Below are 24757 nucleotides of genomic sequence, written 5' to 3'. Positions count from 1 at the left end.
ATATCCCAAATTTCATTAACTAAATTGTATATTTTTATGAAAGCCTGTTTAGCTATACATGCCAACTTAGAGGACATATTGTGAAAACTAGCAAATCTCTCCTTATAAAAATCAGCCCCCTGAGACCAATGAAGCATGATGTATATATTCTAAGAGGGTACATCATTTTAGATTCAAGAAACTGTAATATAATGTAAGCCTCAATAAGAACATTATCACAGAAAATCTTAAAACTTTTGGTGAGTCATGCTTGTTTTTTGAAAATGACTGCCTAGGCTAGGCGCCTGTAATCCTAGCACTTTGGAAGGCCAAGGTGGGGAGATCACTTGAGGTCAGGAGTTCAAGACCAGCCTGGCCAACATGGTGAAACCCCATCTCTACTAAAAATACAAAATAAGCCGGGTGTGGTGGCGGGTGCCTGTAATCTCAGCTACTTGGGAGGCTGAAGCAGGAGAATCACTTGAACCCAGGAGGTGGAAGTTGCAGTGAGCTGAAATGGTGCCACTGCACTCCAGCCTGAGCGACAGAGCAAGACTCCATCTCGAAAAAAAAAAAAAAATTGCCTAAATACCATTCCCTCCATGGAAGAAATCACCGCTTTACACAAAAGAACTAGAAAGGGACAAGCCTTAAGGTTCCATGACATAATCTAACCTATAATAAAAATCTTTTTAGAGTTGATTTCTGTTACTTATAACCAAAAGGACCATAAATGAAAACAATATTTACATTTGAACTCTACAAAACAATCTGAGAGCGCCTCAGGATTTTATCTATATTAGATGTAAATAATGTGTTCTTATTTTACATATCTTATACAGGTGACATGGGAAACAACAGCATATCATCCAGCTAATGATAAATTATTATTACACTTTTTTTTGTTTTGTTTTGTTTTTTTGTTTGAGATGGAGTCTCATTCTGTCGCCCAGGTTGGAGTGCAGTGGCACGATCTTGACTCACTGCAAGCTCTGCCTCCGGGGTTCACACCATCCTCCTGCCTCAGCCTCCCGAGTAGCTGGGACTACAGGTGCCCGCCATCACGCCCGGCAAATTTTTTTGTATTTTCAGTAGAGATGGGGTTTCACCGTGTTAGCCAGGATGGTCTCGATCTCCTGACCTTGTGATCCGCCCACCTTGGCCTCCCAAAGTGCTGGGATTACAGGCGTGAGCTACCGCGTCCGGCGCATTATTATACTTTCTAACTTAAGTAAGTGTGCTAATTATTAGTCTAATACCTAATACTCCACAAAAGTTAACTGGATAAATCTTTCATATAAAGTATTTTGTTGCATCCACTGCAGTGTCTAACATTTTTTTAAAAAATTAACTATTTTGCATCATTATCTTATTTCCTTTTCAAAAAATTCTTGTGTATTTAAGCTACAAAAGTTTCATGGGAGAGCTACAAATTAGTTAACAGAGAGGTTAAATGTCCCGACATTAACTATTTTCTGGAAAACTTTCATAGAAGGTTTACCTTTCCTGGTCCCAGTCTTGGCCCTGGCATGGGGGGTGGTGGAGGGAGAAAAGAGTTCCATGGAGCAGATTTGGGCTTGATGTTATCTGATTTATTTCCAGGAGACCTGGAGTTCTCACTTTCATCTGTTGAAACTTGGCTTTCATTTTCATTCTTTAAAAAGAAAAAATATGCAGGTTTTTGTTATAAGGGTGTGATTAAGAAAAAATTAATGCCTCGGTGGATCAAACTGACAACTGTGTATACTGTTTAACAGTTTCTCATCTAGTCTCTGCTTCCAGAAATTGAATTTTTTTTTTTTTGTATCCTTACCTCTTGAGCATTTTGTTCTATATTATTAGCTACTTCACAGATTGGGGAAAGTAGATCGGACAGATTTTGCTCCTCTCTATTTCCATATCCAGTGTAAACCACAACACAGGTTTCTCTCTTAAAATCAATTGAAGCAATGGTAGCTGGGTAAATGCAACCGTCTTCTGACCAAATGGCAGAACATTTGTCCCCAACTTTCCACTACAAAAGAAATCAAAGATATATACATGCACACATTTCTTTTGAAGAGGGCAAACTATCATCTCGTTTTGATCAGTGGGGAGGTGAAGGATAGAGGGTAGAGATTTGGAAGGCAAAATGATGTAATGAGAAAGGCTTGGGGTCTAAATACATAAATCTGAATTCCAACTCTCTTACATTTATAATCATGGACAAGTTTCTGAATCTCTTTGAGTCTTAGTTTCCCCATCTTATTAGATGGCTATAATATAAACTACCTCCCATATTTGTTGTGAATAGCGGGAGGGAGATAAAATGCGTATGGTGCCCAGCACTCTGGACTGGCCTAGAGCAAGTGCTCATCAACTGTTAGCTCTCTTCCCCCTTGGTAATGATGAAACTAAAGTTGGCTCAAAAGACACCAAAATATTCAGCTTTCAGGACTACTGCTTTTAACTAGCAGAAATAATCTACCTAGACTTCTGGGTTCCTTGGAATTAACAGTTTTAGAGTTTTTAAAGAAAAAGGGGAAAAAAAAATCTATCTCTCAGCTTAAGATGTAAAACACTGCCAATTCAGCTTACGGCTCTTGGGTACTCCTTCCAAACGGCACCTTCTCCCTGCCTTCCATTCACAAATGGAACACATGTCCTGATTTTAGCATTTATCATTCCCATCTAATTCTTTATACTTTCATGACTAATATGCATGTTCCTAAATAACAGAAAATTTAATAGTTGTTTTTGAAGTTGTATAAGTATATGTCAATAGAAACACTGTACTAATCACTTAAGTTAAAGACATTTTACACTATTAAATAAGGACTAATGAGACATCCTTTGAAGTTAAATCTCAACATTTTAAAATAACCTGTTGTAAGGAAGCTGCAGTATTCTTCTTTTGGCTTTTATTCTTCTTAGCAGGTTTTCTTTTAGGTGTGGTTTTTGGTTTACCCGAAGTTTCACAAATGTCACCATTCTTTAGAGCATGCTACGAAAATAGGAATAAAAATGTACATGTTACAGGGTGGTGCACAGAATAAAAGTCACGACATAACCCAGTTACTACTATAAGCTAGTCTCAAGGCTCCGTCACCTCAGAAAGCACCTATTTTCTCTTTTGACCACCCCCTGCACTATAAAAACTGCTCTTAAAGGCATCATACACCTGACATCAGCTCTAAAGACCCTTTTAATCAAATCTCCTTGCTCTCAACCTCTCTGTAACATTAGACCCTGTTAATTATCTTTCTTCCTGATATTCATGGCCCTTTGGATGTCATAGCAATGTAGGGCCCCAACGGTTTCATTACTTCTGATCAAGCCTTAGATTTAGGCATTCCCAATAAGAGCTGGCCATCCTTCTTTACTTGCTTACGGCCATTATTTTATTTATTTTATTTTTTTACACAGAGTCTCACTCTGTCACCGGGCTGGAGTGCAGTCACACTGATCTCAGCTCACTGCAACCTCCACCTCCCAGGTTCAAGCGATTCTCCTGTCTCAGCCTCCCGAGTAGCTGGGATTACAGGCGTGCACCACTGTGCACAGCTAATTTTTGTATTTTTAATAAAGACGGGGTTTCACCATGTGGGCCAGGCTGGTCTTGAACTCCTGACCTCGTGATTTGCTCGCCTCAGCCTCCCAAAGTACTGGGATTACAGGCGTGAGCCACCGCGCCCGGCCAAGGCCATCTATTCTTATTACTTTAGTTGCAACTGTCTGCAAACACACTTCTGAAGCTATTAATCCAGCTGTGACTTTTCTCAATCTAACATTTCCAATGATCAATTTCACATCTTAATTCATACCTCAAACTCAACCTCAACTTAATTCATATTCAACCTCAACTTAATTCAAATTCAATCTCAACTTAATTCATACTCAAACTCACTACTAAAACTATCGTTTTCCCAAATCAGTTCTTTTCCTCCTTTACTCAGATTACTTCTCCCTGCAATATCACCAACCCATCCCACATCGAGCCCCATTTCAATCTCTATTTTATAGAATTCTCTTGGTAATTCTTTAGTCGACTTCTAGTTTCAGTGTATACTGGAAAGCACATTTAAAAATCTAGGCCGGGTGCAGTGGTTCATGCTTGTAATCCCAGCACTTTGGAAGGTCAAGGCGGAGGGATCTTTTGAGCTCAGGAGTTCCAGGCCAGCGTGGGCAACAGGGTGAGACTGCATCTCTACAAAGAATACAAAAATGAGCTGGGTGTGGTGGCACACACCTGTGGTCCCAACTACTCAGGAAGCTGAGGTAGGAGGATTGTTTGAGCTCATGAGTTGAAGGCTCCAATGAGGCATGATCACGCCACTACACTCCAGCCTGGGTGACAGGGCAAGACCCCATCTCAAAAAAAAAAAAAAATCTAGAAATCAGTTACAAAGGTGACATAGAGGTCTGATCTTTAGCTCATGTTACAAGAGTAACTATGAGAAAGACATGAAATCTGTATGCTTGGTGCTCTTTATACACTGTATGAGTATATGCTCTGTTTGCTCAAGGTAGTCTGGACTATTGTTTGCTCAAGGTAGTCTGGACTATTGATGACCCATATTTAGTGCTCAGTAAGACTAAACATCTCAGAGAATGGAGAAGGTGATGATGTTGGCCAACTGTGTAAGTGTCCTGTTTGAGACACAGAACCATACTACATTTCCTAAAAGAACTGTATATTCCTACCCAATAGGAACACTTGAATTGATACCCAACTTACAGGATTTGGGATGATTAGAGTAATTTAATATATGAAACGCACACAGAGCACTGTCAGCATGCTACAAATATTAATTGCTGTACTAATGCTATTTATCTTCATCATTATTTTACTACATGCTTGTTAAATGTTTAAAATTATAATTCAGATTGTCTTTTTCTTATTAATCTCAATTAGAGGACTTCCATAGTTTGATACAATGTAAAAATACTAAAAGGAATACATTGTTTGTTCGTTTTCTGAGATGGAGTCTCACTCTATCGCCCAGGCTGGAGTGCAGTGGTGCAATCATTGCAACCTCTGCCCCCCAGGTTCAAGCAATTCTCCTGCCTCAGTGTCCCAAGCAGCTGGGATTACAGGCACGTGCCACCATGCTTGGCTAATTTTTGTATTTTTAGTAAAGACGGGGTTTCACCATGTTGGCCAGGCTGGTCTCAAACTCCTGACCTCAGGTGATCCACCCGCCTCAGCCTCTCAAAGTGCTGGGATTACAGGAGTGAGCCACCATACCCAGCCAGGAATAAATGTTTTAAATTTTATTTAAATTGCCTCCACAAAGGATGACATATATAGGCTATCAACTTCTAAAGGAGGATATCACCTGATTTAACTAACTCATACTACCATCTAATCTTCAAAATGAAAACTGAATAACATGTACTTTAACACTTTATCGTATGTTATCAATTCCTTTCCAAATGAATAACGAGAAAATAAGAAAACGACTAAGCAAGCATTTCATACCTTAAATGAAGCCACAGCTTTATCATATGCTTTTATCAGTGCTGTATCATCCCAAATGTCAGAATCATCGCTCTGGAAAGGGTAAGAAATAAAAACAACTCATGTTCAGATAGGTTTAATCAGAAAATGTATGTTAGTACCAAGAGTCATCTTAATCCACACATAACAAAATTACACTGAAAATGAGTATTTAAAATCCTAAATAAAGCCACAGGAAACTTACCTGGTTAGAGGTTATGTGACTTTACTCCAAAAGCTAGACATAGGTAAATGTTCTAAGAATGAATGCCATCAAGTGAATGCCCCTACAATTTAATTCCTATCCACATACCATGAGTAGATTTGTTCAAGGCCAGCTATATTTATTTCAATTAAGATCAGATAAAACTTGACTTCATCTAGACTACGGGAATGCTGTTCTGACCTCAGAACCTATGATCCAAAGAATATTTTTTCTTTTGAAATTATAATGTTTCCAGATTATAAGGATACAAATTGTTAATAGTGACTAACCAATTTTCATTTTATTATTATTATTATTTTTTTACTTCCATTTCCCTTTCCTGCTTTCCTGGTACCAATTTTCTTTCCTTCCTTTTCTTTTCCTTTCTTTCGTTTCTTTCTTCTCTCCCTCCCTCCTTCCTTTCTTCCTTCCTTCACTTCTCTTTCTCTCTTCTTTTTTTCTCCCCTCAAATTCCTGTGTTCAAATGACCCTCCCACCTCAGCCCACTGAGTAGTTGGGAATATAGGTGCATGCCACCATGCCTGGCTAGTTTTTAAAATTTTTTGTAGGGACGGGGTCTCGCCATCTTAGCCAAGCTGGTCTTGAACTCCTAGGCTCAAGTGATCCTCCAGCCTCGCTCGGCCTCCCAAGTGTGGGAATTACAGGCATGAGCCACTGCACCTGGAAATATTTTTGTCCAGACATGGTGGCTCATGCCTGTAATCCCAGCTACTTGGGAAGCTGAGGCAGGAGAATTACATGAGCCCAGTTGTTGGAGGCTGCAGTAAGCTATGATCATCCCATTGCCCTCTAGCCTGGGTGACAGAGGAAGACCCTGTCTAACAACAACAACAACAATAACAAAATAATAATAATAATAAATAATTTTTTAGCACTATCTGCTAGCACTGTGCAAGTCACTGAGAGATATATAGAAACATGGTACTCTCCAGTTATTATCTAACTAGGGATTTAAGACTATCACACAAGACAAAACAAAAAACAATATAAAACAAATCTTAACAAACATCAAAATGTGAAATACAAACAGTATTTTAATTAAAAAGGAAAGAAATTAATGTCTACTGCAAGATCATATGGAGGAAACCGGCCTAAGAAATAAAAACCACTCACGCCTGTAATCCCAGCACTTTGGGTGGCCGAGGTGGGTGGATCACGAGGTCAGGAGTTCGAGACCAGCCTGGCCAACATGGTGAAACCCTGTCTCTACTAAAAATACAAAAATTAGCCGGACATAGTAGCACATGCCTGTAATCCCAGCTACTTGGGAGGCTGAGGCAGGAGAATCACTTGAACCTGGGAGGCAGAGGTGGCAGTGAGCCAAGATCGCGCCACTGCACTACAGCCTGAGAGACATAGCGAGACTCTGTCTCAAAAAACAAACAAAACAAAACAAAACAAAATAAAACAAAACAAAACAACAGGATTTAGGCCGGGCATGGTGGCTTGTAATCCCAGCATTTTGGGAGGCCAAGGCAGGTGAATTGCTTGAGTCCAGGACTTCCAGACCAGCCTAGGCAACAGGGTAAGAACCTTGTGTCTACTAAAAATACAAAAATTCTGGCCGGGCGTGGTGGCTCATGCCTGTAATTCCAGCACTTTGGGAGGCAGAAGCAGGCAGATCACGAGGTCAGGAGTTCGAGACCAGCATGGCCAACAAGGTGAAACCCCATCTCTACTAAAACTACAAAACTTAGCTGGCGTGGTGGCAGTCACCTGTAATCCCAGCTGCTTGGGAGGCTGAGGCAGGAGAATCACTTGAACCCGGGCGGCAGAGATTGCAGTGAGCTGAGATTGTGCCACTGCACTCCAGCCTGGGTGACAGAGTGAGACTCTGTCTCAAAAACAAACAAACAAAAAAACCAAATTTAGCTGGGCATGGTGGCACATGCCTATAGTCCCAGCTACCTGCAGGGGCTGAGGCGAGAGGATCACCTGGGCCCAGGAAGTTGAGGATGCAGTGAGTGGAGATGGCGCCGCTGCACTCCAGCCTGGGTAACAAATTGAGACCTTGTCTGGGAAAAAAAAACAAAAAAAAACAAAAAAAACCCCCAAAAAAAAAAAAAACCCAACAGGATGTGCATAGGTAGACAAAATAGAACGCATTCCAAGTAAGAGCATGAACAACAACAAAAAAGGCATGGAAGCAAAAATAACACTAACTATAAGAATTTATTTATGTAAGGTAACTAAGTAGTCAAATTTATAGAATTAGAAAGAATGGGCCAGGCGCAGTGGCTCACGCCTGTAATCCCAGCACTTTGGGAGGCCGAGGTGGGCAGATCACCTGAGGTCAGGAGTTCGAGACCAGCCTCAACATGGAGAAACCCCTTCTCTACTAAAAATACAAAATTAGCCGGGCGTGGTGGTGCATGACTGTAATCCCAGCTACTCGGGAGGCTGAGGTAGAATTGCTTGAACCTGGGAGGCGGAGGTTGTGGTGAGTCGAGATTGCACCATTGCACTCCAGCCTGGGCAACAAGAGTAAAACTCCATCTCAAAAAAAAAAAAAAAAGAATGATGATTACCAAGGGCTAAGTGTAAGGAGAAATGGGAATTTGCTAATGGGTAGAGTTTCAGGTTGCAAGACGAAAAACTTCCGAAGATCTATTGCGCAACAACATGAACATACTTAATATTACTGAACTATATACTTAAAAATGGTTAAAATGACAAATTTTTTTACTTCAATAAAAAATAAAACACACTGTATGAGGGATTAGTGAGACAAGTCCAAATAGAATCCAATTTATACTATAGGGTAGAGTTGGATTTGGTATACTAGAGAGTATTTTGGATTTGGTATAGTATTAGTCAATGAATTCCAAAAAAGTTTGTTATAAAATTCACTGAGTTGTAATATTACTTTTTGTCATTTTCCTGTTTTTTTTTTGTTTTGTTTTGTTTTCTCTTGAGACAAGAGTCTCGCTATGCCACCCAGGCTGGAGTGCAGTGGCATGATCTCGGCTCACTGCAACCTCTGCTGCCCAGGTTCAAGTGATTCTCCTGCCTCAGTCTCTCAAATAGCTGGGATTATAGGCGCCCACCATCAAGCTGGGCTAATTTTTGTATTTTTAGTAGACATGGGCTTTCATCATCTTGGCAAAACTGGTCTCGAACTCCTGACCTCAAGTGATCCTCCCACCTCAGCCTCCCAAAGTGCTGGGATTACAGGCATGAGCCACCGCACCCAGGCTTGTCATTTTCCTGTTAATCTCCGTTATATAGAGACAAATGTATTCCAATATAAAATGTCAATCTTGCTGTATGATAAAAAGTACTTAATAATCCCAGCCTGGGCAACATGGCAAAACCCCATCTCTACAAAAAGTACAAAAATTAGCTGGGCGTGGTGGTTCACATCTGTAGTCCCAGCTACCCAGAAGGCTAAGGTGGGAGGGCCGCTTGAACCAGGGAAGAGGAGATTGCAGTGAGTGGAGATCAGAGATCGTGCCACTGCACTCCAGCCAGGGTGACAGTGAGACCCTGTCTCAAAAAAAAAAAGTACTTAAGATCATTAAGTCACTTTGCAGATAAGAAAAGTAATCACAAAGAGGTTAACTGACTTAAGGTTACATTCGCACTTGGAAGGGAAGATATTCCTTGGAGATTTGGTAAAAGGAATAAAAACAGGCTGGGTCCAGTGGCTCACACCTATAATCTCTGTCTCGAAAGAAAAAAAGGGGGGTAGGGGGGAGGCTGGGCACGGCAGCTCATTCCTGTAATCCCAGCACTTTGGGATGCAGAGGTGGGTGGGGTGGGTGGATCACTTGACATCAGGAGTTTGAGACCAGCCTGCCAATGTGGCAAAACCCCGTCTCTATTAAAAATACAAAACTTAGCCGGGCATGGTGGTGCACACCTGTAGTCCCAGATACTTGGGAGGCTGAGGCAGGAGAATTGCTGGAACCCGGGAGGCAGAGGTTGCAATGAGCCAAGATCACTGCACTCCAGCCTGAGTGACAGAGTGAGACTCCATCTCAAAAAAAAAGGAAGCAAACAGTAGAAAATGAAGGGTGGTCCTGAAGAAATAAAGAAATCACAAAATCAAGGCCAGTGATATCAATAGAAGAGTGCAGTCTTAAAGCAAGATACATAGACAGATGGCAGCTCAAACTCCTCATATCTCAACTGTTATTGCCAGACCAGGAAACAAGTAATTTCAAAACGAACAGAAAACAAAGCGACAGAAGAAAAGGTAATACTGATTACAAGGTACCCAAGGACAAATACATCTGACTGAAAATCTAAGGAGCACCAAAGCAAAGCCATGAAAAAGAACCAAAGGAACAAAAATAAATAAGAAGCAAAATGGTTGATACATTGGCAAACAGTATTTATTTAACGTATGTATAAATGGGGTCCCTGAAGAATAAAAACAAAACAAAACAAACAATCTTCCTGGTGGTCTAGTGATTAGGAATTTAAAAAAAAGAAAAATTCCTAGGGATGGGAGGAAGAACCCCCTCCCATCCTCAGAGAGCCTCTAAGCAAAAAGACTAAGTTACAAAATAAAGAAAATCAGTTATCATTAGACTTTCTCATAGAAATTTATGGGGAAAAAGTATGAGCCAAGAATTTTATATGCAGCCTAGCTGTCCTTGAAGTAGCAAGACTAAGAAAAGTCTAAAATGTAGAAGAATACCGTACTCACTAGCCTTTCCAGGGTAATCTATTGAAAATACGCTTCATCCAACCAAGATATGACCAGGGAAACTTGGGTTTTAAAAATAACAGAACTGGCCAGGCATGGTGGTTCACGCCTGTAATCCCAACACTTTGGGAGGCCGAGGTGGGTGGATCACCTGAGGTCAGGAGTTCAAGACCAGCCTGATCAACATGGTGAAACCCCGTCTCTACTAAAAATACAAAATTAGCCGGGCGTGGTGGCGCATGCCTGTAATCCCAGCTACTCGGGAGGCTGAGGCAGAAGAATTGCTTGAACCTGGGAGGTGGAGGTTGTGGTGAGCCAAGATCGCGCCACTGCACTCCAGCCTGGGCAACAAGAGCGAAACTCTTGTCTCAAAAAAAAAAAACGAAAAACATAAAACAGAATTGTTAGCATCAAATATATTTAATTGTGGATCTAAGAGGAAAGTAGTGTATTAAATTGAAAAGCTGATTCTAAAATTTATATGGAACTACTAAGGACAAAAATAAACCAAAGCTGGACAATTTACATTATCTAACTTTAAGACTGTAAACCAGAAGTAGCTAAGACAGGTTTCAATCAATTTAGAAAGTTTATTTTGCCAAAGTTAAAGACGCTCCTATGACACAGCCACAGGAGGTCCTGATGACATGTCCCCAAGGTGGTGGGGTACAGCTTTGTTTTATACATTTTAGGGAGACATGAGGCATCAATCAATATATGTAAGATGTACATGAGTTCTGTCAGGAAAGGCAGGACAACTCAAAGTGGGGGTAGGGAGGTTTCTAGGTCATAGGAAGATTTAAAGATTTTCTAATTGGCAACTAGTTGAAAGAGTTATTATCAACAGAAAGGAATGTTTGGGTTACCATAAGGGGTTGTGGAGACCAAGGTTTTATCATGCAGATGAAGCTCCCAGGTAGCAGGCTTCAGAGAGGGTAGGTTGTAAATGTTTCTTTTCAGACTTTAAGAGTCTGTTCTATCAGTAATTCCAAAAGGTAGTAGGGTGTGATGAGACATGTCCAACTCCCCCTTCCCATCATGGCTTGAACTAGTTTTTCAGGTTAATTTTGGAATGCCCTTGGCTGAGAGGATGGGTCCATTCAGTTGGTTGTGCAGGGGCGGGGGGGGCCTATAATTTTATTTTTGGTTTACAAGACATACCCTGAAGCAATAGTAATTAAAAGTGTAGTACTGACATCAATATACACTAATAGACAATGTAACAGAATTGAGAGTCAGAAATAGCCCTGTGATATATGTGACTGATTTTAACTAAAGTTACAAATGTGGTTTAATAGAGAAAGCATAGTAGTTTCAAGAAATGGTGGTAAAACTATTGGAAATCCTTATGCAAAAACAAACCAAATTTCCACCTACACTGAGCCACATATAAGAATTAATACAAAATGGATTACAGACCTAAGTGTAAAACTAAAACTCTAAACTGTGTAAAAAAAAAAAAGAGAGAAAAATCTGTGATCATGGATTGCCTATAACAAAAGAACAAACTGAAATGGCCTTGTTGCCTGGGGTGGCACCCGAGGTTCTTGGTCTCACGCTGAGGAAATCAAGGACGCTGACACACCAAGGGTGTGAGGCTAGAGCAGAAGTTTAATAGGCAAAAGAAAGAGACTAGCTCTCTCCTGCAGAGAGAGGTCCTGAAAAGAGTTCCCATTCCACAGTGAAATGCAAGCATTTTTATAAATGAGCTAATGGGAAGGGGGTAGCTTATCTACACATAGGGAGCAAAAAACCAGTTAGGACCAGGTGTTGCCATCTGCACAGAGCGTGAATCTCTGGCATCCCCCACCCCAACCTTTTATTATGCAGGCAGGTCCTTGGCCTGAGCTACTCCACATTGCTTATCTCTTTCCTATTGTGCATGTGCTAAATAAGGGGAGGTGGAGCCACCATGGTGGACATGCCTGGCCCCAGGTACCCCTTTCTCTCCGTGCAGCTGCAGGCAACCCCAACAACTCACAACATGCAAGCTTCCAGCTTCCTTATCTGAGTATGTACTAAGGTCCACTGTGTTTACTTCACATACTGTGTTTACTTCACATACCCACCTTACGTATGTGAAGCTTGCTGATTACCCAGGAAGCTCCCCCTCTGTGCCAGAGCTGCTTCCTTATACATGTTTACAGCCCGATCTTCCAGGCTGCTCCTTGTTAGAAGAGAAGTGATTTCTTGGGCTGCTTTTTGTTAGAAGGGAAGTTCTACCGAGGACTCTGTCTAACTATCGGCTTACCTAGTCTTTTTTTACCTCCTCTCTCAAAACCATCAAAGAAAAAACTGAAAAATTAGATTTCAGCAAAATTAAGATTTTCTGTTCTTAAAAAGACGTTGTTAACAAAATGAAAAACCAAAGTGTAAACCGGGAGAAAATACATGCAAGTTACCTATCTGATAAAGATATTGTACCCAGCAAACATGAAGAACTCTCAAACCTCAACAACAAAAAAATTCAATTAAAAGATGGGTAAGTTGGCCGGGTGCAGTGGCTCATACTTGCAATCCCAATCTTTGGGAGGCTGAGGCAGGAAGATTGCTTGAGCCCAGGAGTTCACGACAAGCCCAGGCAACATAATGAGACCTTGTTTCTACAAAATTTTAAAAAATTAGCCAGGCATTGTGGCGTGTGCTCGTAATTTCAGCTACTCAGAAGGCTGAGACAAGAAGACTGAGCGCAGGAGGTGGAGGCTGCAGTAGGCTGTGTGATTGCACCACTGCACAACAGCCTGGGTGACAGAGTGAGACACTGTCTCCAAAAAAAAAAAACAAAAAAAAAAAAAACCCAAATGATTTGAATAGACACTTCACCAAAAAAGATATACGGATGGCAAATACACTCATGAAATGATCAACAGCAGCACTGGTCATTAGGAAATGCTAATTAAAATCACAAGAAGCCACTATATCTATTATAATGCCTAAAATTAAAAAGACTGACCATACCAGGTGTTTGCAGGGACACTGAGCAAATGGAACTTTCATACATTGCTGGTCAAAATGCAAAATGGGGGAGCTGTTCTGAACCTATTTAGTTGTGGGGGCTGTCCAACTTTTGAATTTTTCTTTGCTCAATTAATCTCTGTTATATTAAAAAGTAACATGGTACAACCACCACTTTGAGGAAGAGTTTGACAGCTCCTTAAAGACTTAAAATACATCTACCCTGAGACCTAAGTATTCACTCAAGAAAAATGAAAGCGTATGTCTATACAAAGTCTTCTTTAAAATTTTTTATAGAAAATTTTTAATTTTTGATTTTAAAATAAAAATAGAGGTTTCACCATGTTTCCCAGGCTGGTCTCAAACTCCTGGGCTCAAGCGATCTGCCAGCCTTGGCTATATGAAGTCTTATACACTAATATTCATAGTGGCTCTACTTGTTAACAGTCCCAAACTGGAAAAAGCCCAAATGTTCACAAGCAAGCGAATGAATACAGTATAGTATATACATGCAATGGGATACTACTCAGCAATAAAATGGATGAAAATCAAAATAGCTATGATAAATAAAAGAAACGTGACAAAAAAGGTACTCTATCATTCCACGTTTATAAAAATTCTTAAAAATGCAGGCTAATCTATGGTGACAGAAAGTAGATCAGTGGTTGTCTGGGGACAGGACAAGGAGGGATGAAAAGGATCACAAAACAGCAATCCAACTGAGGCCACCATGCTATAAGGAAATCCAAACCAGCCCACACATTGAAACCACATAAAGAAATCTTCATGAGACTACATGAAAAAAAGAGATAGCCTGCCAATCCCTAGCTGCTCAGTCCCCAGCTACTGTAGCTCTAGCAACTATGTAGGTGCAACCACGAGACAGCCGCACGAAAACTGCCCAGCACGGCTCTCACAAATTCCTAACCCACAGAAACAATGAGAGATAATAAAATGTTCTTTGTTGTTTCAAGCCACTAAGTTTTGGCAGATTCGTTACACAGCAACGGCAGCCAGAACGGACCACCAGGACTGCCTTTATATCTGATTCTCAGTCATTTCCAGTAGCTCAGATTTCTCAAATTATTCCCAACACCCTGCCATCTTCTACCTTCTCCTACCACTTCCTGAAACTTCCACTGTGCTCCCTTGAGTAATTCATAAAATCCACTCTTTTAACCTCTGAATCATCCCTTCATTTCTTGCTCTAAGTAAAATCTAGCTCCCTGAGGATGCCTTTTCCTTTCGCAGCCATCTCAAATGATAGATGTTTCCTCTTTTCTCCTCCACACACTTCATATCACTGTACCTACTGGAGATGTGGGGAAGAAATCTTCCCTGCTCTGGCTGGCGCGGTGGCTCACGCCTGTAATCCCAAGCGCTTTGGGAGGCCGGGGTGGGCGGATCACAAAGTCAGGAGATTGAGACCATCCTGGCTAACACGGTGAAACCCCGTCTCTACTAAAAATACAAAAAAACAATTAGCTGGGCGTGGTGGCGGGCGCCTGTAGTCCCAGCTACTCGGGAGGCTGAAGGAGGAGAATGGCGTGAACACGGGAGGCGGAGCTTGCAGTGAGCGGAGATCTCGCCACTGCACTCCAGCCTGGGCGACTGAGCCAGACTCCGACTCAAAAAAAAAAAAAAAAAAGAAAAAAGAAATCTTCCCTGCTCCTTACTTGCACTTTCAGATTATTCTCCTCCATTCCCCTCTCAAAATTCCCAGCCTTGAAAATCCTGACAAAAAGTAGCCAGGCATGGTGGTCAGCACCTGTAGTTCCAGCTACTTGAGAGGCTGAAGTGGGAGAATCCCTTGAGCTTGGGAGGAGGTTGTAGTGAGCCGTGATCGCGCCACTGCACTCCCACCTGGGCAACAAAAAGAGGCCCTGTCTCGGGGGGGGGGAAAAAAAGAAAGAAGGAAAATCTTGTCACCAGACTCACAGTCTATTATCGTTTCCTATTGCAGTCACCTACAGCCTACCGAGTCACTCTTCCTCATTCCTTAATGTTTACATCGCAGTTCTCTCTCCAACACTACTCCTGTCATAATTTTTGGTGATTTAAATATCCATGTAGATGATCCCTTCAATTACCCTATATTTGCAGGTCTCTAAACTCCTCTCCACCACAATCTTGTACATCCTCTGATGTGGTGCAGCTCTGTGTTCCTACCCAAATCTCATGCTGAATTGTGATCCCCAGTGTTGGAGGTGGGCATGGTAGGAGGCGACTGGATCATGGGGGTGATTTCTAATGATTTAGCACCATCCCCAAGTGCTGTTTCCTGATAAGCGTTCTCACAAGATCTGGTTGTTTTAAAGTATGTAGCACTTCCCCCTTCTCTCTCTCTCCTGCTGGCCATGTGAAGACTGTGCTTGTTTCCCCTTCACCTTCCACCATGACTGTAAGTTTCCTTAGGCCTCCACAAGAGAAGCCTGTACAGGCAGCAGAACTGTGAGCTGATTAAACCTCTTATCTTTATAAATACCTGGTCTCAGGTATGTCTTTGTAGCAGTGTAAGAATGAACTGATACATCCCCAAATCTCAGCTACTCACTCACTTCAACTGTATTTATTTATTATAACCAATAACCACAACCTCTCCATAAATGCAGTTTCAAGAATCCCACTCTCTTAACCATCACCTTCTAGGCTCTGCAACTTACTCCTACTAGTGATTTGATGGGGACAATCATTCCACTTCATTAGGACTGGCAGTACATTGATCCTCCCACTTTTTTTTTTTTTTTTTTTTGAGGCAGAGTCTCATTTTGTCGCCCAGGATGGAGTACAGTGGCACGATCTCGGGTCACTGCAAACTCCACATCCCGGGTTCAAGTGATTTTCCTGCCTCAGCCTCCCTAGTAGCTGAGACTACAGGCACCTGCCACCATGCCCAGCTAATTTTTTTTTTCCAAGAGGAGTCCTGCTCTGTCGCCCAGGCTGGAGTGCAGTGGCGCAATCTCGGCTCACTGCAAACCTCGCCTCCCGTGTTCAACTGATTCTCCTGCCTCAGCCTCCCAAGTAGCTGGGATTATAGGCACGCGCCACCACGCCCGGCTAATTTTTGTATTCTTTTTTTTTTTTTTTTTTTAAAGACAAAGTTTTGCTCTTGTTGCCCAGGCTGGAGTGCAATGGAGTGATCTCAGCTGTCTGCAACCTCTGCCTCCCAGGTTCAAGCAATTTTTCTGCCTCAGCCTCCCGAGTAGCTGGGATTATAGACACGTGACACCATGCCCGGCTAATTTTTGTATTTTTAGTAGAGACAAGGTTTCACCATATTGGCCAGGCTGGTCTCGAACTCCTGACCTTGTGATCTGCCCAACTCGGCCTCCCAAAGTGCTGGGATTACAGGTGTCAGCCACAGCGCCCGGCCGATCCTCCCACTTTTTAAACTGTCTCTCAGGGTCTTAAAATCCTCACTTCCTTTCTTTTTTTTTTTTTTTGAGGTGAAGTCTCACTATATCGTCCAGGCTGGAGTACAGTGGCGTGATCTCGGCTCACTGCAACCTCCACCTCCTGGGTCCAAGGGATACTCCTGCCACAGCCTCTTGAGTAGCTGGGATTACAGGCACCTGCCACCATTCCCGGCTAATTTTTCTGTATTTTTATTAGAGATGGGGTTTCGCCATATCGGCCAGGTTGGTCTCAAACTCCTGACCTCAGGTAATCCACCCACCTCAGTCTCCCAAAGTGCTGGGATTACAGGCGTGAGCCACCGCGCCCGGCCTCTCACTTCCTTTCTTAGCCAGCTTAAATTCCATGGTCAATCATTAAGAGAACTCCTTTGTACTTCTCCCCCTCACTTCTTCATATCCACGTGGTAAAATCACAACTGCATTAATTTCAACTCTCCATTTACTCTGTGGGTGCCCTCATACACAATCTTGCTGTCTGGTCTCCTTCAACTCATGACCACGAATCTCAAGTAGGCTCTTTATGTTGCCTAGCAATATTTCCACTAAACTTCCCTAGTCCAACCCTTGCCCACTCTTCTAAAGAACTATCTACTTCCCATCTTCTCTTTCCTCTCCCATCCCAGCTTCTAGCTGATAACCTTGCTTCTTTCACTAAGAGAACAGTAAGAATCAAGAGAACTTTCAAAATCTCCTGCCATCCTATCTGCCCATTCACGTATCATAGATGTGTTAACTATATAGCTGTCACCAAAAGAACCGCTAATGTTTCCAACAAAGGCCAAATCCATCCCTTCTTACCTACTCTAGGACATTGCTCTAGCCATTGTCTTCTTTCCGACATCAACTTTCCCATTCTCATCTTTCCTATCAACCCACAAACATGCTGAAACATGTTGCTCCTATCTTAGTGCAGTGGCTCACACTAGTAATCCCAGTACTTTGGGAGGCAGAGGTGGGAGGATAGCTTGAGGCCAGGAGTCCAAGGCTGTAGTGATTCATGATTGCGCCACTGGCACCCCAGCAGCCTGGGCAACAGAGCAAGACCCCCCTCTTTTAAAACCACACACACATAATTAAAATTCCTCTTAACTCACTTCCCCCTCCATTTATTGCCCAATTTCTCTACCCTCCATTTATAATAAAATTTCGTGGTGGCTCACTCCTTTAGGCCCAGCGACTCCAAAGGAGGGTCGCTTGAGGCCAAGAGATCAACGCTGCCATGGGCTAGGATCATGCCACTGTACTCCAGCCTGGGCCACAGAGAGCGAACTTGTCTCTAAAAAAATTTTTTTTAAATAGAATTCCTTGAAATATGCCTACCGATGTTTTTATTATTTATTTATTTATTTATTTATTTATTTGAGACGGAGTCTTGCTCTATCGCCCAGGCTGGAGTGCAGTGGCGCGATCTCGGCTCACTGCAAGCTCCGCCTCCCGGCTTCATGACATTCTCCTGCCTCAGCCTCCCGAGTAGCTGGGACTACAGGCGCCCGTCACCACGCCCGGCTAATTTTTTGTATTTGTAGTAGAGACGGGGTTTCACCGTGTTAGCCAGGATGGTCTCGATCTCCTGACCTTGTGATCCGGCCGCCTCGGCCTCCCAAAGTGCTGGGATTACAGGCTTGAGCCACCGCGCCCGGCCGTTTATTTTGTTTTAAGACAGGGTCTGGCTCTGTCGCCCAGGCTGGAGTGCAGAGGCGCAATCACAGATCACTGCAGCCTCCACCTCCCTGAGCCTTCCAAGGCCTGAACCTTCCAGGTAGCTGAGACCACAGACGCGCACCACAACACCCGTCTAATTTTTGCAGACTCGGAGTCACACTATGTTGCCCAGGCTGGTCAAATGTTGCCTTGGATTTCTCTTCTCCTACTCTCCAACTCACTCCAGCCAAATTCACCCCTACCATGCTATGCCCAAGACTGAACTCCTGAGAAACCTGCTCTACTGGCAATCTTCTCTTTCCCACCTCAGCAAAAGGCAACTTTATCTTTTCAACTATTCAGGATAACCTCCGTTATCGAATCTATCTGAAAAACCTGTTGCCTCCGATTTCAAAATATACCCAGAATCCAAATACTTTCACTCTGTTAATAACATCTTGTTCTGAAGTTCAGATCATCTTAACAGACTCCTAAGTGGTTCCCCTGCTTCACCCTGGCCTAATGCCCCCACCTCCCCCACACCAGCCAGAGAGGAGTGAACAAAATAAGCTACTGCCAAGTCGCGGCAGGGCCTCCACTCAACGCTATCAAGGAGCCCAAACTGCTCGAGGAAGGAGCTTGCGGATGTGGTTCGCAGGGAACGGAGTGGGAAAAGACGTAGAAAAACGCGGACCACAACTCCAGTGAGCGGATCGACTTGATGCTGTCCCGAGGCTGCGGAAGGAGAGTTGGGCCGGAAGAAGGGTGCTGAGAGCGCTAATAGGGAGACTGCACTGGCTGCGACCTCACCTGGCCTGTGCCGCGCCGGAACAGCACGGAATCCTCCTGCTCCGGGACGCCGCCACCACTGCCGCCGCTGCTCATCGCCATAGCAAACCCGCGGGTGCGCAGCGTGGGGCCCCGTCCCTTCTTAAGAGTGACGACTTCCGCCGCCCGGGGCTTCTGGGAGCGGAACAGTACGGTGGCCGGGAGGACCGCTTGTAGTAACTTCTCACGCTTTCTACGAGTGGTTATCGCCCTCCCACATTTGTGGCGTGTATATTTTTCATTTCTCTCAATCCTTTCATTTCACTGTGTTATATTTCCTTTCCTTTTTTTTTTGTTTGTTTGTTTTGAGACAGAGCCTCGCCCTGTCGCTCAGGCTGGAGTGCAGCGGCGCGATCTCGGCTCACTGCAGCCTCGACTTCTTGGGCTCAAGCGATCCTCCCACCTCAGCCTCCCCAGTAGCTAGGACTATAGGCGTGCGCCACCAAGCTCAGCTATTTTTTGTATTTAGTAGAGACGGGGTTTCGGCATGTTGCTTAGGCCTCGTCTCGAACTCCAGTGTGTGTGTGTGTGTGTGTGTGTGTGTGTGTGTGTAGATATTTATTCCCCCTCCCCCTTGGAAAAGTAAATGTAAGCTCCTACTAGGAATTTAAAACCTGCTTGATCTATATAAAGACAAACAAGGAAAGACAAACATGGGGGCAGGAAGGAAGGCAGATCCTTAAACACTAGAAGATATTTGATCCCCCAACCTTATTTGTTGTTTGTTTTGAGACGGAGTCTCGCTCTGTCGTCAGAGTGCAGTGGCACCATCTCGGCTCATTGCAGCCTCGACCTCCCGAGCTCAAGCGATCCTCCCGCCTCAACCTCCCAAGTAGCTAGGACCACAGGGGCACGCCACCACACCCGGCTAGTTTCTGTATGTTTTGTAGAGGCGGCGTTTGGAGCATATTGTGTAGGCTGGTCTCGAACTCCTGAGCTCAAGATATTCCGCCCGCCTCTGGCATCCCAAAATGCTGGGATTACAGGTGTGAGCCACCTCGCCCAGCCTCCAGTATTCTTTTTTTTTTTTGCGACAGAGTATTGCTCTGTCACCCAGGCTGGAATGCAGTGGCGTGATCTCAGCTCACTGCAACCTCTGCCTCCCAGGTTCAAGCAATTCTGCCTCAGCCCCCCGAGTAGCTGGGATTACAGGCGCCCACCACCACACCCGGCTAATTTTTGTATTTTTAGTAAAGATGGGGTTTCACCATGTTGGCCAGGCTGGTCTTGAACTCCTGACCTCGTAATCCGACCGCCTCGGCCTCCCAAAGTGCTGGGATTACAGGTGTGAGCCACCACACCGGGCCTCCAGTATTCTTTATTAAGCATCTAGGGTTGCTAAATGGCTTATATGTACATAGTATATATATATTTTTAACTCCACGAAAGGAACTTTGAGCTCTTCCCCCAAAATACCCTTGGCTTCTATATAGTATACAAGAAATATCTGTGGAGGAAGGGGAGAATGGGATGATGTTGACCAAGTGTACAAAAATGGTAACTCTGTAGAGGTAATATGTGGAATGTAATCATTTCACAATGTATATCTAAACATCAAATGGTACACCTTAAATATATACAATTTTTAGGGGTCTGGTACGGTGGCTCATGCCTATAATCCCAGCACTTTGGGAGGCCAAGGTGGGTGGATCACTTGAGGTCAGGACTTCAAGACCAGCCTGGCCAACATGGTGAAACCCTGTTTCTCCTAAAAATACAAAAATCAGCCGGGTGTGGTGGTGCAGGCCTGTAATGACAGCTGCTTGGGAGGCTGAGCCAGGAGAATCACTTGAACTCGGGAGGCGGAGGTTGCAGTGAGCCAAGATCACGCCACTGCACTCCAGCCTGAGTGACAGAGTGCGACTCCATCTCAAACAAATAAATATGTACAATTTTTATGTGTCAAAAAAGTTAAATTGTCACAAGATAAAAAAAAAAATTTAAATCTCATGTCAGGAAAGTAATGTGCCAAAGGTACATCTCACAGATAAACATGAAAACCTGCCCTCCAGCCTGGGCGACAGAGTGAGGCTGTGTCTCAGAAAAAAAAAAAAAAGTAAAAAAAAAAGTATGTTTTTATAAAGCTTGCTTAGATTTTTCTGAATCATAAAAATTCTCACAATTGCATTTGATGTCAAAATTTAAACAAATTACCTGGACATATTACATGATGGTTAAAAAAATAAATTTAAACAAAATATAGAACCAGGTTTCTTTTTGTTTTTTAATTTTTTTCTTTTTGAGACGGAGTCTCGCTCTGCCACCCAGACTGGAGTGCAGTGGCTCACTGCAACCTCTGCCTCCCGGGTTCAAGTGATTCTCCTGTCTCAGCTTCCCGAGTACCTGGGATTACAGGCGTGTGCCACCACACCCAGCTAATTTTTGTATTTTTAGTAGAGACTGGGTTTTGCCATGTTGGTCAGGTTGGTCTCAAACTCCTGACCTTGTGATCCGCCCGCCTCAGCCTCCCAAAGTGCTGCGATTACAGGCATGAGCCACCGCACCCAGCCATTTCTTTTTGTTTTTATTATTTAGAGATATAATTGATATACTATAGAATTAATCGTTTTAGAGAGTACAATTGAATGGTAGATAGAGCGGAAACCTTAATATATTCACAAGGTTGTGCAACCATCACTACTATCTAACTCCAGAACATTTTAATCACCCACCAAAGAAACTCTGTTTCCTTTAACAGTGCGCTGCCATGCTCAGCTATTTTTTGGGAGAGAAGGGGTCTCCCCATGTTGTCCACGCTGGTCTCAAACTCGGTTGCTTAAGCAGTCCTCCCACTTGAGCCGCTGTGCCCAGGCCTGAGTTACTATATTTATAAAAGTTATTTCATATGATAGACAAATCATTCAAAACATAATGAGGTAAACTGCCAAAAGAAACCATTTTACCATATTTGAAGGCATTTAATGTAAATGTTGAATTTAATTTCATGTACTGGAATCAGTCTTTTTGCATATGTAATTTTCATACCAAAAATCTCTCTTCAGTTGACTCCTGGAACTCTCTCATGATAAAATAAAAGTTTCAAATAATGTCGGGGTGGTGGCTAACACCTGTAATCCCAGCACTGTGGGAGTCCGAGGCAGGTGGATCACATGAGGTCAGGAGTTTGAGACCAGCCTAGCCAACATGGCAACACTAAAGATATGAAAGTCAGCCAGGCATGGTGGTGCATGCCTGTAATCTCAGCTACTAGGGAGGCTGAGGCACAAAAATCACTTGAAACTGGGAGGTGGAGGTTGCAATGAGCTGAGATCGTGCCACTGCACACCAGCCTGTGAGACAGAGCAAGACTGTGTCTCAAAAAAAAAAAAAAAAAAAAAAAAAAAAAAAAAAAAAAGGGGCCAAGTATGGTGGCTCATGCCTGTAATCCTAGCACTTTGGGAGGCTGAGTGGGAGAGGATCATTTGAGCCCAAGTAACATGGTCAGGCCCCATCTCTACAAAAATAAATTAGCTGGGCATGGTGGTATGGGCTTGTGGTACCAGCTACTCAGGAGGCTGAGACAGGAGGAGTACTTGAGCCAAGGAGGTCAAAGGCTGCAGTAAGCCATGTTTTTGCCACCGTGCTCCAGCCTGGGCAACAGAGCAATATGCTGTTTCAAAAACAAACTAAAAAAATGGTAGTACCTACATGTGAAGATTGCATATAATAAAGATTGTAAAGCAGAGAGAAAAACTGGACAGTTCACCAAAAAGAAAATCCAAATGTCCACTAGAGATCTGAGAAGATGCCCAACCTCTAGAGCCAAGGAATTGCAAATTAATAACTAAGATAACATTTCAGGGCCTGGCACGGTGGCTCATGCCAGTAATCCCAGCACTTTGGGAGGCTGAGGCAGGCGGATCACTTGAGGTCAGGATTTGAGATCACCCTGGCCAACATGGTGAAATCCTGTCTCTACTAAAAATACAAAAATTAGCTGAGCATGGTTGCGGCGCCTATAATCCTAGCTACTTTGAAGACTGAGGCAGGAGAATCGCTTGAACCTAGGAAGCGGAGGTTGCAGTGAGCTGAGATCGTGCCAGTGCACTCCAGTCTGAGTGACAGGGTGAGACTTCATCTCAAAAAAAAAACAAAAAAACAAAAAATTTCAGGAATATACCTGCCTTTGGTAAAAACAAAAAGAAATTGTGAACCAGGCGTGGTGACTCATGCCTGTAATCCTAGCACTTTGGGAGGCTGAGGCAGGAGGATCCTTTGAGCCCAGGGGTACAAGACCAGCCTGGGCAACATAGGGAGACCTTGTCTCAAAAAAAAATAAATAAATAAATAAAATAAAAAATAAAAAAATCGTGAATAGTGTTGCGATGAATAAAAAAGAAAAAAAATTAAAAAGAAAGAAAACCCAGAAAAACTAACATACCATTTTCCTCTCAGTTTGGCAAAACTATTAGGAATTAATAACATTTGATGTTAGCAAAGTATGGGGAAATGAACTTTTATCCTCTTATTGAAAATATCTGTTTGTAGCCAGGCATGATGACTTATGCCTGTAATCCCAGCAATTTGGGAGGCCAAGGTGGGAAGATTCCTTGAGGCCAGAAGTTTGAGACCAGCCTGAGTAATAAAGTAAGACCCCATGTCATTAAAAAAAAAAAAAAAAAAAAAAAAAAGAAGGAAAGACTGCCGGGCGCAGTGGCTCACGCCTGTAATCCCAGCACTTTCAGAGGCTGAGGTGAGCAGAACACTTGATGTCAGGAGTTCAAGACCAGCCTGGCCAACATGGTGAAACCCCACCCCATCTCTACTAAAAATACAAAAATTAGCTGGGCGTGGTGGCGGGCGCCTGTAATCCCAGCTATTCAGGAGGCTGAGGCTGGAGAATCACTTGACCCTGGAGGCGGAGGTTGCAGTGAGCCGAGATCACACCACTACACTCCAGCTTGGACAACAGAGTGAGACTCCGTCTCAAAAACAACAACAACAAAACCCAAAACATCTGTTTAAAGTTTAAGACATGTATACCTGTGAAAGTTGATTACATAAATTGGGTCATTCTTGAAATACTCAACTAAATCAGAGTTGAAGGGCCAGGGGGAAGAAGCATTCGGGGCACACAGCATCTGCTTCAAGAATTAAATTTTCCACAAGTCCAACTGCTGAACCAGCCTTCTGTATCCCTAAGACCAGTTTTACCTAATAGCTGCTAAAATGAACTGCCATGACTCTAAGACTGGTTTTACCTACCACCATCGCTCACCAATCAGAGCTTGCTAGCTCCCACAAGCTCTAGTGTGAATGAGCTTTCTTCCAAAACAGTATGTAATACTGTTCTTTCTCATAAAACCCGGAACCTTCTCTTTTTTTTTTTTGAGATGGAATTTTGCTCTTGTTGCCCAGGCTGGAGTGCAATGGCGCGATCTCGGCTCACTGCAACCTTCACCTCCCGGGTTCAAGCATTTCTCCTGTGTCAGCCTCCTGAGTAGCTGGGATTCAGGCATGCGCCACTATGCCCAACTAATTTTGTATTTTTAGTAGAGACGGAGTTTCTCCATGTTGGTCAGGCTGGTCTCAAACTCCTGACCTCAGGTGATCTGCCCGCCTCGGCCTCCCAAAGTGCT

At 43.2% G+C, this 24757-nt stretch overlaps 1 protein-coding gene across 14 annotated transcripts in view, besides 2 other annotated features; it reads right to left on the bottom strand.

The window, feature by feature from the left end:
• The window catches only part of SMN2 (survival of motor neuron 2, centromeric), a 41006-nt gene extending 21602 nt beyond the window's left edge, over positions 1 to 19404 (bottom strand). For 6 of the 14 annotated variants that reach the window (XM_047417619.1, XM_047417620.1, NM_022876.2 and 3 more), the window contains exons 1-5: positions 19161 to 19404; positions 5441 to 5512; positions 2843 to 2962; positions 1793 to 1993; positions 1481 to 1633 (exon numbers count right to left, since the gene is read on the bottom strand). In XM_047417619.1, coding sequence (XP_047273575.1) covers positions 1481 to 1633; positions 1793 to 1993; positions 2843 to 2962; positions 5441 to 5512; positions 19161 to 19241 — 627 coding nt within the window. In that variant the 5' untranslated portion in view covers positions 19242 to 19404. The remainder of the gene's footprint in view (positions 1 to 1480; positions 1634 to 1792; positions 1994 to 2842; positions 2963 to 5440; positions 5513 to 19160) is intronic. The other 8 variants (XM_047417621.1, XM_047417622.1, XM_011543600.3 and 5 more) reach the window with 2 other exon arrangements.
• Positions 11554 to 12193: an enhancer, noted in NCBI's record as "OCT4-NANOG-H3K27ac hESC enhancer chr5:69352561-69353200 (GRCh37/hg19 assembly coordinates)". NCBI's record gives its function as "activates a minimal SCP1, AML or CMV promoter by ChIP-STARR-seq in naive H9 embryonic stem cells {active_cell/tissue: H9 hESC(naive)}" and the evidence as "EXISTENCE:reporter gene assay evidence [ECO:0000049][PMID:30033119]".
• Positions 12194 to 12833: an enhancer, noted in NCBI's record as "OCT4-NANOG-H3K27ac-H3K4me1 hESC enhancer chr5:69351921-69352560 (GRCh37/hg19 assembly coordinates)". NCBI's record gives its function as "activates a minimal SCP1, AML or CMV promoter by ChIP-STARR-seq in primed H9 embryonic stem cells {active_cell/tissue: H9 hESC(primed)}" and the evidence as "EXISTENCE:reporter gene assay evidence [ECO:0000049][PMID:30033119]".

The sequence above is a fragment of the Homo sapiens genome, chromosome 5 (genome assembly GCF_000001405.40).
Source record: "Homo sapiens chromosome 5, GRCh38.p14 Primary Assembly".
Classification (NCBI taxonomy): Eukaryota; Metazoa; Chordata; class Mammalia; order Primates; family Hominidae; genus Homo; species Homo sapiens.
This window is presented reverse-complemented; position numbering and strand designations above follow the sequence as displayed.